This window comes from Homo sapiens, chromosome 1 (genome assembly GCF_000001405.40).
Source record: "Homo sapiens chromosome 1, GRCh38.p14 Primary Assembly".
NCBI lineage: Eukaryota > Metazoa > Chordata > Mammalia > Primates > Hominidae > Homo > Homo sapiens.
The window spans coordinates 64,619,477-64,632,929 of record NC_000001.11 but is presented as its reverse complement, the minus strand read 5'-3'; the positions used below and the strand labels follow the sequence as shown (position 1 = coordinate 64,632,929).

The following is a 13,453-nucleotide window of genomic DNA, read 5'->3' as shown; positions in this document are numbered from 1 at the left end:
GTAGGCTAGCCCAAGCTGTGATGTAGCTCAGGTGTATTAAATGCATTTTCAACTTATGATGGATTTATCAGGATGTAACCCCATTGTAAGTCAAGGAGGATCTGTATATCACAAAACAATAAAGTACTTTAAAAAAGGCATTCAAGGAGAACCTGATGCCATAGGGGTCACAAGGGTCATGGTCACCTTGTCATGTTCATCGATGGCGCTGAGGATGACCTGAGCAGCGTCCTTGGCAATCTGAAGCTGAGTGTCTGTGACTGAAGCCCCGTGGTCCAGAATCACTACTATGTGCTTTGACTGCGGCCGGACTGTAGAGACGTAGATGGGTCTGGAGGGAGAAGAAGCTCTCTGGGGTCAGTCTTGGTTTAGGTAAAGGGCCTCAACTTAACACAGCTGTGAACACTACAGTGCATGGGCATGTTGGTCTCTGTGTTCTCCCAGGGATGGCACAAGGATGGAGAAATCCACATGGAAGGAGAAACCATATTGGTGCATTGAAAATAATACTTAAGACAACAAGGTGTGTCTGTAGAACAGGGATGGGTAATTTATGCCTTTAAAGATCAAAGCAGACAAGAGAAGTTTTTCAGGAGCAAACCCTTTCAGAGGTTGGCTTTTTCAGCATCACTAACATCCTGCTTTTCTCTCTTTTTTTTTTTTTTTTTTTTTTCAGAAAAAAGCAGGATGTTAGTGTTCTTTAACCCAATGCTTTCTGCACAGCTTAAAACTTCTAGTAGTTAAAATCCTCATATAAAATATGCACAACCTCTGCTTGGTATTGCCCAGTGTACCTGTTTTGCTAAAGGATGTGGATGTAGTGGTCCCTTGGGCTGAGAGACCAGCCAAGGAGAAAAAGGTCCCATCACCAGGGTTGGATTCTCCTCTGCAGACTTGCAGAGTGGGGCTTGGTTAGAAGTGAGGCAGCCTATAACCCGTGAGCATGCTGAGCAGCTTTGAATGGCAGGTTTGGTTTCTCTCTTCTCATACAAAGGCTCCTGCTAAGAGGCCCCTTTCCTTTCTGGACTGAAACAATTCACATAGGTCAGCCACCAAAAGGCCCCTTATCTGAGCATTTAAAACTGTGCCATCAAAATTTGTCCAAGTCTGTGATAGCCACTCTTCTTGCCAGGTTTTTGTTTGCCAACATTGAAAAAAAGGGGGTTGGGGGCAGCCACAAAGGAGAAATGCCTCCCATCAAAGCAGCCTTTTGCTAATGTGCAGTGCAGGAAGGTTTGTGAGAAGAGGTTTAATGAGGTCTCTATTCACAGTTTTAAAGCTGGAACAAATTAGAAGGAGTTTAAGAAAGCAAATCAGCCTCAAGAGAATTCTCTCCTTTACTGACATCCTTAAAACACTAGATTTTCCTGTGAAATGTTAGATGCCAGCTGAATCACAAAAGCCTGGGCACAAATTAAGAAACGCAGGCAAAGTACCAAAAAAACTCAAAATCTGGCCAAATTTACACTAGTTGTTCTCAAGCCCAAAGTCCTGCAGTAATTACTAAAGTACCACTATATTTTCATGAGTCGATACCATTGAGCCACTAGGGAAATGCAATAAAAAGAATCCAGGAGAGGTGGCTACAGAAATGAAACAGAGTACAGAAAAGAAGGAAAATTTGATCATCTCAACACTGACAAGTAGGTCAAATATTTAACTTTTTAGATTCTCCAAGCTAGATGGGTGGATTTTCTTTAAAATGACACACTTCCTTTGTTAAAATTCAATTCACATAAATGAAACTTGGGATATGTGTTGGCATTGTCACATTAAGTTGTTAAACGCTGCTTTAGTGGGATATATAAATAGTGATGTTAAATGTACAAACTGGGGGGCAGTCCTCATAGAATGACTGGTATCTACCACTTCCTTTCTTGTGTTGCTATGTCCTGAAATCCATTCCATACTTCCAAAGAATGTAGAGAACTTGGAAAGGCATCATAGGAAAGCAGTTAGGACAAGAAATGTGAATCGCAGTCTATCAGAGAGAAATGTGGATCATTTAGCCAAGGGAAAAGAGGTTCAAGGGCTAATTAGTGCAGATTTAGGGTGGAGATACATGAAAACTTTCCGAATTGCCTTGTGTAGGTGAATGCTGATTTTGACAAGGTTTCACTTTCCTTTTTAAACTTTTCTTCACAGGTGCTTCGTTAAAATCAGCATGCCATCTAGCCCATCTCTTCTTAGAAGCAAATGAGAATTAGATGGTTCATGGTGGCCTTTGTTCTCGTGAGAAGCCATGATCATGGCTTCTGGTCCAGTCTCCAAGACACCCAAGTCTTCACCAGAATGTGTGGGGAGGGAAAGGAAGAAACCACACACACAATAAAAATATCTTAGGACGACTGGGCACGGTGGCTCATGCCTGTAATCCCAGCACTTTGGGAGGCCTGAGGTCAGGAGTTCGAGACTAGCCTGGCCAACATGGCAAAACTTCGTCTCTACTAAAAATACAAAAATTAGCCAGGCATGGTGGTGGGTGCCTGTAATCCCAGGTACTCGGCAGGCTGAGGCAGGAGAATCGCTTGAACCCGGGAGGCAGAGTTTGCAGAGCTGAGATCGTGCCATTGCACTCCAGCCTGGGCAACAAGAGCAAAACTCCATCTCAGGAAAAAAAAAAAAAAAATCTTAGGAAAAGCACAGATGAAGTATTTTCCTTGGGGAAAAATTCTAGATAAAATTTAAAGTGAAGATGAAGGGAAGCTAAAGTAATTGTGTAGACTCCAGAAAATGGTGTGAAAAGTGGGTGCCCTGCACTAGAGCTCCAGATGTTTTGGCATCAAACATCTAACACTGCAAACAGGAAACTGTCAGGATTAAATAGGAAAGTATATTTGCTTCGGGGGGGTTCTATAATTAATGAGTCTTGTCATACAAAGTATCTCACCATTATTGCCCTTCTGGCTACATGGTAGAATCTCAAGTCATGTCTGTGAGAGAAAAGCAGGATGTTAGTAATTTTTAATCCAATGCTTTCTGCTCACCTCAAAACTTCTAATAGTTAAAATCTGCATGTAAATTTCATGCAGTATGGCCAAGCATGTCATCATAGAAAGGGAAGTTGAGTATAACAAACTACTCTGAGATATGTTATAAAGTTATGTTCAAGGGCTGCACTATAGATAAGGTACCATCATTTACATTTCAACAAAGAATTCTGAAACTCAAAACACTCTAGGTGCTTCACACAATTTGACTTCACGAGTAAGTACCTTTTTATATTTGGCATATTAGATAGCTATAGGAAAGCTCTGGGTTTTGTAATTTGCCCTTGCCTGGAATTTCACATCCACATATACTAAATGGTGAATTCATTTCAGAACAAGTACAAATTTCTGAATCCACAGCTTAAAGGCATAGCCATGAGTAGAAATGAGAAGTTTTATATTTCATGTAGATCACTCTTAAGCAATAATTAAAAACTTTAGCATGCAAGTCAACATACCTACTGCGGTGTTCGTAGCTGCCCTTACACCGGAACTTGTGTGCTGGGAAAACAGTGAAAATTCCTTCTTCTGAACTGAAATATTGCCACTTAATTCCAGGGTTGGATTTCAGGTTGTCTGCAAGAACTAGAGGTGTAAGGAAAATGAAATATAACCACCAAATCCACAGGTGCATGCAGGCACTGCTCCTCAGGCATCTGTTTTGCATAAACTGCTTCTAGTATGAAGAAATCCCACTAGATACAAGATTGTAAATTTTCTATGAAACATTTGCTTTCTGCCCCTTAAAAAACACCCCAAGAACAGAAAATACAATGTTTCAGCTAAGTGAAGTTATTACTCTTAATATTGTACCATGACATTATATGTCTTGGATTGTTTTTCCAGTACAAATGATTCATTTGCATTAATCTCTCCCTGCACTGAGCTGGTCCCTGTTGGGCTAGCACACACTAGTTGGCTTGGGGTACAGTCTGTAACTGTAGAAAACAGTGATGTTAATAGGCTGATGTTAATAGGCCTCATCACCAGAGGGACTAGACCTGTGACCTTAACCTTGCCTTTACTTTGCAATGAAGGAAACAGCATACATGGTACTTAAAAAGACAGGCCATAATCATTCAGTAAAGCTGTTACTTATGGAATGATTCCTCTGTGCCAGTGCTGGAATATAGGCTTCCTTATGTTATCTCATGTCATCCATAAAGCAACCCCAAGATGTGGGTGGTATTGTTATCACTACTTTGGAGTCGAGAAAATATGCTTAAGTGATTTATCAAAGACCTCATCAGTAAATGGCCAAGCTGGGATTCAAACCTGGCTGCCCTGACTCCTGTGTTCCTTACATCATGCTATACTGCCTCCCTTCATCTACACAGCATCCCTACCACTGACCTGCGTCTGCCATTCCCTCAGCCCAAGTGCCAACCACCTTGTTGTGTGCAATCCTGTCCCACGACCTCCATGAAGTCTTTCTTACCCTCTCCCGCAATCAGAATTTCCTCTTTTCTGAGCTCTTAGGATCTTTTGTTCTGCTCCATTCTGACTCAGCTATTTATTACACACTTACTATGTGCTGGTCACTGCTTTACATTTGGCAAGATATACAAAGACGAGCACAAAACAAGCCCTATTGTAATAATTGATATACAAGCAGACTTATACAGATGGAAATGGAACAAAAAGAAATTCAGTGGGGGGAAGATTCCGAGCTAAGGTAAAAAGGAAGGAATGCATGAGGTGTATTTGACCAGAAAATACATTAAGCTTTAAACACCCATGTGATCAAATAAGGATCTGTTTATATGACTATAAGGGCTGAGATATGACTCTAACAATGATGATGGATCTTCACCTCTACTGTAGACAAAGAGCTTTCACACAGGATATTTAAGTTGCACAAAATAATACATGATATGTGTTCTTATCTTCAGATTGCATTGAAGAAACTGAAGCTCAAAGAAATTAAATGGCCCTTTATAACACTGACACATTTTATTTTCTTCATAGCATCTATCACCATCTGAAATATCATTTGTTTAATACCAGTTAATTCTTCTCTTCTCCCTCCCCACCCCCAGTTACATTTTAAGGTCCATGCAATGAAGAACTTGGTTGGCCTTGTCCCCCGTATAGCCTAGAAAAATGCATGCACAGTGAGTGTAAATAGTTCCTACACAAATGAATATCCACAGCTAGTAGGTGGTAAGATCATGTCTTGAACATAGCTCTTCTGACTCTGTGTTTCTCACTAAATCCCTCGGCCTCAAATAAAAGTGGGTGGACTAATTACGGTATTATGTTTTTATACCATATGTAGCATCAGGAATTACATTATGAAATGGGAGCTGCAAAGATTTGCAGGATATTGTGGGGGTGATGGTTCCCTGTGAACTCAGGTGCAACAGTCATGTGCCCGCCTCTTCTCCTCTAGAGCATCATGAACTCCAAGAAGGTAAGACGATGGTCTACTCTGTCTCCTTGGCACTCAGAACAGTGACTGTCCTGTTCTGAAGGTTTGTTATATTAGCAGGACTGAATTCCTATTCTATTTTTTTATTTAAAAAATTTTTTTGAGACAGGGTCTCACTCTGTCGCCCAGGTGGGAATGCAGTGGTGTAATCACAGCTCACTGCAGCCTTGATCTCCTGGGCTCAAGTGATCCTCCTGCCTCAGTCTCCTGTGTAGCTAAGACTATAGGTGGGCACCGCCACACTCAGCTAATTTTTTTTATTTTTGTAGAGACAGGGTGTCACTGTGTTGCCCAGGCTGGCCTCAAATTCGTGGCCTCAAGTGATCCTTCTGCCTTGGCCTCTCAAAGTACTAGGATTACAGGCATAAGCCACCATGCCCAGCCCTGAGATTTTATCTGAGACAGACAGGCCTTGCTTCCAGTCTCTGCTGTCTCTAGTTCACTGTATTTATATCCACTATTATTCTGATGTCTGCTTGGCTTTGATCAACTTTTCATGATTTGTTCTTGGCCTACCACAGGCAGGGAATGGCTTTTTGGAATGGAGGTAAGGAGAAAAAAAAAATACTAAATCCTTACCTACAAGAGAAAGACTAATTGAGGGAGATTGGAAATACACACTAAACTTTCAATTAATTATCACAGTATCTGATTAAGAGCTTGCGTGAGGTACAGAGAAGGGCTATGGAAATCCAAAGATAGCAAAGATCTACCTGTTGTCATTGAGATGGTGTTGGGAACAAGTGCTGAGTGAATGCCTGTGACCCTCTAGGCATTATGCTAGGCGCCTTCTACAAAGTATGGTGGACTTTTGCCATTTGGGTATGTACCTTGAAAACATACCCACCTCCCAAGATGACCAATGTGCAAGAGGAGGGGAGTGAGAGCTTTACAGCAGGGTAACTACAGAGAGTGCTCAATTAGCAAGACAGGAAGCCAGAGGCCAAGTTCCTCTCAATGACTTATTAAAGGACAGTGTACATAAGTGCATAGCATTTGCTGTTGCCATCTACATATGATGTAGAGTGCGGAGTGACAATATATTCAACTCCTTTCCCGTTTTCCATCCGAGTGAGGATCACCATTTTTAATGTTTCATTTACTTTGCAGAGGTCTTTCTGCCAGTAGCAATATGTTATCTGAGGACTATCTTTTTGATCTATGGCAAATATTTTGATTGCTTTCCAAAAATTAACACATGTGACAGCCATTAAAATTTGTGGTTGGCGTTAAAATGCCAGTTTCGTCTTTATTTCTAGCATGTACATACTCAGGTATGACTTTAGTGCTGGCTCCGCCTGTCACTGGAACAATTTCAAAGCATGAGGCAAAGATAAAGACATTGGTCAATAAACCTCATTTTAGGCTAATTGTTAACAATAACTTACATAGAAGAAAATACTGGAACAACATGTGACTATTCCATAAAAGTGCCCCATGGTGATGCCTCTGTCAACCTGCCCACTCCCAGAAACTTATGCCCAGAGCCAAACAGGGTTATGCCTATGTGGGGACTGATGAAACATAATGGAGACTCGACTCTAGCAAACATCTCGACTTAGCAAACATCTACCTGGCATCTGCATGTGACAGCTTTGTGCTAATGCTCCCACATATAGCATTTAATTCTCACCTCAACAAACCAGTCTTTTAACATGCACTAAGGTTTCAGGTGTTTAAATCAGAATAGAGCAAAATCCATAGACATTTAGGAACACTTTAAAAAATTTTTTTTTATTTTTATAGATGTAGGGGGTACAAATGCAGTTTTGTTATGTGGATATATTGTGTAGTGATGAAGTCTGAGCTTTTAGGGTAATCATCACATGAATAGCGTACATTATACCCATTAGGTAATTTCTTTTTCTTTTTTTTTTTTTCTGAGACTGAGTCTCACTCTATCACCCAGGCTGGAGTGCAGTGGTGCAATCTCGGCTCACTGCAACCTCTGCCTCCTGAGTTCAAGTGATTCTCCTGCCTCAGCCGCCCAAGTAGCTGGGATTACAGGCATCTGCCAACATGCCCAGCTAATTTTTGTATTTTTAGTAGAGATGGGGTTTCACCATGTTGGAGAGGCTGGTCTTGAACTCCCGACTTCAAGTGATCCGCCTGCCTTGGCCTCCCAAAGTGCTGGGATTACAGGTGTGAACCACCACGCCCATCCCCACTAGGTAATTTCTCATCCCTCACTCCGCCTCCCACCCTCTCACCTTTCCAAGTCCCCAGTGTCTATCATTCCACTCTTTCTGTCCAAATGCACACATTATTTAGCTCCCACTTATAAGTGACAACATTCAGTATTTGACTTTCTGCAGGAACACTTTAGAATTCCCACTCATCCCCTATCCCTCACTGCTTTAAATGACCAGATCTCTGTATAGAAACTTTCCTTCAGTCTGGTACAGTGATCGACCAACTTCTGTAATGGGCCAGATAGTAAATATTTCTGGCTTTGCAGACCATAAGGTCTTTGTCATAATGACCCAAATCTGTCTTTGAGAGGGCAGACATAGACATTTGTAAATGAATGAATGGGCTGTGTGCCAATACAAGTTTATTTACAAAAATCACTGGCAAGCTAGATTTGGTCAGCGGTCCTCTAACAAAGATATGCAAAATATACTACACATAGGACTTAAAGCATTTCCAAAGCCTTAGACTTTTAGCTATTACATCCCTTGCCCTCCCCAGGTCCCTCATGCATACCAAGGGGCTATAACACGTTTTATCCTCACAAAAGTCCTAGGAATAAAAATTATTATCTCCAAGTGACAGCTGAGGAAACAGGCTCAGGGAGCTTGTTTTTGACATGCCTGAGGTTTCACAGTGGGCAAGAAGGGGCCATGAGAGTCAAGGCAGTCTGTGACCACAATGCCTGTCTTCTCGCCTCTCTGCCAGGAAACTTGCCCTTTGTGAGACATCTGGCTGACATGAGTGTGTGTAAACATGGAAGAGGCTTTTTCTCCACCTAGTCTCCTGGGGTCTGAAGCTTTAACCTTGATCTCACATTAGCACTGTTCTCCAGACAGCCCTGCCAACCCCTTAATAAAAAGGCAAACATTGCCTTTGGAAGTAAAGGAAAGCTCAATGACCTCATTTAAAAGTAACATCTGTAACAATAAACAGGCTACAGAAACTATTAAAAGGGGAGCCAATGGGAGCAAGAATGTTTTAAAAATAAATCAGAACTCATATAGTGCATGATACATTTAGTCTCACCACAAAAGATCATTCTGGTTCATTATAATCATTCCAACACTATAGCACAGTTTCAGGCAAGGTTTCTCCAATTCTCCTGCTGAGGACTCCTTTGGCATCTGATTAAATTACATCCATTATTTGGTACTAGCAGAAGATGATGGATATGATGGTAATGAGGCCCCGTGGGCCCAGAAGTAATCTATCAATGTGCTGTGCATCCCAGGCGGCCCCTCTCTGACCTAGATGTGGAGGTGAATGAGAGCCTTATTATCCACACAGGCAACCCAGAGGGGGCTTCCCCCATTCCTATGAGTCAGTTAGGTGTCTAGCCACCGGATAACTTGGGCTGGTGTCTAGCCACAGGGTCCTTCACACTCACTCTTTCCTCAGAAATGTTGGAAGTGGTCCAGGAAAAAAGCTGGGCAGATGCCCAACCCATTAAGCGGTGATGCACAGCATTAGGATTTAAGTGATTAATGGGCAGGGTCTGTATCTGTCTGAATTGCTCTATACACCTACACCTACCTCAGACAGACACATGTGCAGGAGGCAATAAATGGTTTTTTCCTCAGTGAAGTGCATCCCCAAGCTAGAAGTTACTGCACCCTCTTAAATCCTCCTCCGGTGTTTTACCTCTTCCTACCTTCCACTCCGCATTATCGGTGTTATAGGTACGTTCCAGCTCCTCCATCCCTAGATTCTAAGATCCTCGAGGGCAAGATCTATACCTGATTCATCTCTGTATCCTAAAGCAGAGATTCCTAGTTCTTTTCACATTGAGGCACACATTCTCTGAGAGCTGCAGGATTGGTATCTGTAGCACACAGGCCACAGGCTGGGATGATCTGTATGTTTGTGTGTTAAGTTCTAAAATCTTATTTTCTTCTAATGCCATTTTTTTTTTTTGAGGCAGAATCTCACTCTGTTGCTCAGGCTGGAGTGCAGTGGCATGATCTTGGCTCACTGCAACCTCTGCCTCCCAGGTTCAAGCGATTCTCCCACCTCAGCCTTCAGAGTAGCTGGGATTATAGGTACCCGTCACCATGCCCAGCTCATTTTTTTATTAGTAGTAGAGACGGGGTTTCACCATGTTGGCCAGGCTGGTCTTGAACTCCTGACCTCAGGTGATCTGCCCACCTCGGCCTCCCAAAGTGTTGGGATTACAGGCATGAGCCACCAAACCCAACCTACTGCCAAATTTAATTTAAAAAATTAAATATTGTGACATCAATATAGAAGCAATGATAATTTTAAATATGTCTTAAAACCTAGACACTCCCTTCTCCGAACACCACTGCCTTGATTAAGAAAGTTTGCCAATGCAACCAGCATAGAAATAGATAAATGGAGAGATAAAAAGTCTGCTTGTGTGATTTCATGGGTCTATACATGTCCAAATCTACTAACTGCACATGTTAAACATGTGAAGTTTATTGGATGTCAATTATACTTCAATAAAACTGTTTTAATAAAACAGTGAAAATGTATTGAGCATCATACAAAACAGTTTCACATATGGTGTACTACTTTTCACAATTACCTTATGGGTTTGTTATTTTATTCCTATTTTATAGATGCAGAACTAACATGCTCAAGGTGGCAAGAGCACAGCATGATTTGATTGATTTAGGTGTGCTTGCCTTTAACACTACATATAGTACTTCCGTATTAAGAAATACATGCTAGATGAATTAGCAATCAACAGATAAAAAACTTACTGAGTATTCTTGAGAGGCAGAATAAATATATAAACATGCAGGGGTTTCTCAATCAAAATAACAGATTTATTAGTTTGTACATACAATGTAAATAAGTACAATTAAGCAGAGGTGTAACAAAACGAAATGATTTCATAATTGGAATAAAACCTAAGGTGAAACTGACCACTTAATCTTATAAAGAAAAACAAACTGCTGAACGGCTAAAGCTGGCAAACATTAGCTGGGTAGTTCAGGCTGGTTTACCTGGAAAATCGCACAGACACAAGCTACTGCTTAACAGGCAGAGCTGATAGTGCATGTATGACTCTGAGAAACCTTAAACACTAAATAGCATATGTTAGATAAGAGATGGGGTTTTTATATAACTGAGAAATGGTATAGTTGTGATCTCTTAATTATTTTGAGTTGTTCAACAGGTTAGAGACATGAGCCTTAGGTGGCTTTTATTTTTCACTGTCAACCTGAGCAAGTATAAGGAAGCCACTTGGAAAAGGCCTGGTGCTATTTTGCATTTTCTATTTAATTCGGATTGGTACTTATCAACTAGAAAAAAGACCCTGGTAAATCAGAATGGACTGGGAATGAAAAGCCACAGGTTCAAGTCCCATCTCTTAAGACTGGCAAGCTGTCTGACCTTAAATTTACTCAATATATAGCATCCAAAGGCTTCTTTCTAAAATGTAAATCAAATCCCCTGTTGCTTTGCTTAAAACCTTTCAAAGGTTCCCTACTGTACTACACTTAGCATTAAATTCAAACTCTACAAGGCCCTGCATGACCTGGCTCCTTCCTATTCTCCAACCTCACCTCTTCCCCCTTCAACTCAGTACACTGTACATCAAGAGCCAATTCTTTCAGTTCCACAAATGTGCCCTTGGTACAAGGTGATCCTTAGGCCGGGGAAAATTCTTTCTTCACTTTTCATAAAGCTCTTTTTTAATCCTTCAGGTTTTGCCTGAAATTCCACCTTCTAAGAGATCCTCCCCTGACCACTCTCGATTCTTATCCTCTCTTATAGTACCTGGTATTTTCCTTCATAGCAAAAACTGGTAACGTCCTGTGTATTCTTTATGTAGCTATGTGTTTAGTATCTCTTACATAGGAAGCCTTAAGCTCCATGGGGAAGGAAGTATACAGATTTACAAATAGAGAGGAAGAACAAACTTCCAGCTGGCTTTGATCAAGTTTATACAAAAAAAGGGGAAGAGGGGAGCATCCTCACTCCTACTGACTTAGAAGATATAAGTCAGCACTATGAGACTACTATCAATGGCCCAAGACCATATATATGGAATGTCCCAGTGGTACCAGGGAAAGGTTATTTAGACGAACATATGGAAAAAATTTAATGTCAGTCTTTTAAAAACACAGAGCCATCACAGGTAGCTCACTGTGACCACTGATGAGCAAGGGCAAGAGGAAGTGTTTTCTCATTTCAAGTATTCTCATTACAAGCATTTCAAGTATTTACCATTTTAAGTATTAATTATCAGAGCAACCATAAAATCTTTTACTCTAAAGCCCTTACAAGCAGGAATGATATCTAATAATTTAAGATTATTTGGATAGAGCCCAGCAGACTATCAGTGGGCCAGTGGAAGGTGAATTTGGTCCCACTAAAGACTGTGTAGTGGGAATCTTTTTAGTTGGCTGTAAGTTAGGGCCATTCCTCCTCCAACCAACTCTAAGGCACAAGATCTTAATAGTTTCTGTTCCATAAATGCATTGGTAGTCTGGAGAAGACAGAATCTTTGTAAAGCATACAAATAAAACATTTAAGATTACAAAAGAAACCTATTATAAAAATAGTTTCCAAAATATTACAAATGTAAGTTTATGATAATATATGTGCTTCCTATTAATGCATTGAGAAAGATTAATGCATTAAGAAAGAAAGAGTATGGTAGGTCTCATACCTTCCATGATTTGGAAATCATGATGAGTATACACGATATTTCAAGACATTCAACAACTGTTATGTGAGATGAAAATGGCCATGATTTCTTTGATGGCAAACATCGCTGGCATGAAAAGTACACTGTGGATTGTTACATTAATTTATGATTGAATTAGAGATCAATTAAAATAAAGATCTAGTTTATTTAACATCCAAATGGATGAATCTCTTAATTCTATCTGTGAACCCCTTAGGAGGGGATGAGGTCTGTCTCTAAGGGACAATGCACTCCTGTTGATATTAATATTCATATGAATTAGAAATCTGCTTACAAAGGATGTTTCACTGTAAGGATAGTCTCTGTGGTGATCACTATTAAGTCACATTTCTAAACAGCTACATGTAGGTAGGGAGGGAAGATATATAGATATTCACTGTTTCCAAAGTCAATATGGTCTCTATTTTATATTAACAAAAGTTCACAGCAGCTCAGAAAAATCCAAACTGCTTTAAAAAATTAAAACATTGAAGGCCTATGATGCCTGGATGAAAAAACTGATAAGATATGGTGCTGCCAGCCCACTTCTCCTTCTCTAAACCTTTACCAACGAAAAATTCCCAGGGTGCCAAGCAGATAATAAGTAAAGAGGGAGATGAGATTTAGATAAAAATAACAATAAGAGACCAGGTATCATTCTAGATATTTTGCTTATATATTTTTGAAATCTCTTAACAATTCATTTTATAAAGTCAATATAATTACTGTCATTTTACAAAGCAGAAAACTGAAGCTGAGACAAGTGAAGCAACTTATCTATGTCCATACAGTTATTATAACTAGAGGAGGCAAATTCTGATCAATGGATCTAGTAAGTCATCTTGCTTTTTCCCCCTCCTTCTTGCCTTATCAAATATTTATTGAGTCCTGACTACGTGTAAGGCACAGTGCGGGGATCACGCCCTCTGCTTTTGGGTCTAGAACACTTTCTACTAAACCAAGGGAAGATTCTTGGCATGCAGCAGTTAGAATACAGATGAGGGTACCTGAGAGAGAGGTGCTCTTAGATCCGACCTCCAGTGCCTACCACCATTCCAAGATGCTTTTGCCCAGAGCATCCCAGTATGTAAGGCTCTGCAATACAGGTTCTATTTGATCTCCATACTATAAAATACTGACAAAGTAATATCATAAAATGCAAGGAAACAGTTCTTC

The 13,453-nt window shown here is 40.5% G+C and overlaps 1 protein-coding gene across 5 annotated transcripts in view; it reads right to left on the bottom strand.

Moving 5' to 3' along the window:
- Nucleotides 1-13,453, bottom strand: part of CACHD1 (cache domain containing 1) — a 222,925-nt gene that overhangs the window by 60,124 nt on the left and 149,348 nt on the right. For 4 of the 5 annotated variants that reach the window (NM_020925.4, XM_047426234.1, XM_047426235.1 and 1 more), the window contains 2 exons: nt 3,449-3,575; nt 187-331 (listed from right to left, as the gene is read on the bottom strand). In NM_020925.4, coding sequence (NP_065976.3) covers nt 187-331; nt 3,449-3,575 — 272 coding nt within the window. The remainder of the gene's footprint in view (nt 1-186; nt 332-3,448; nt 3,576-13,453) is intronic. The other variant, NM_001293274.2, reaches the window with a different exon arrangement.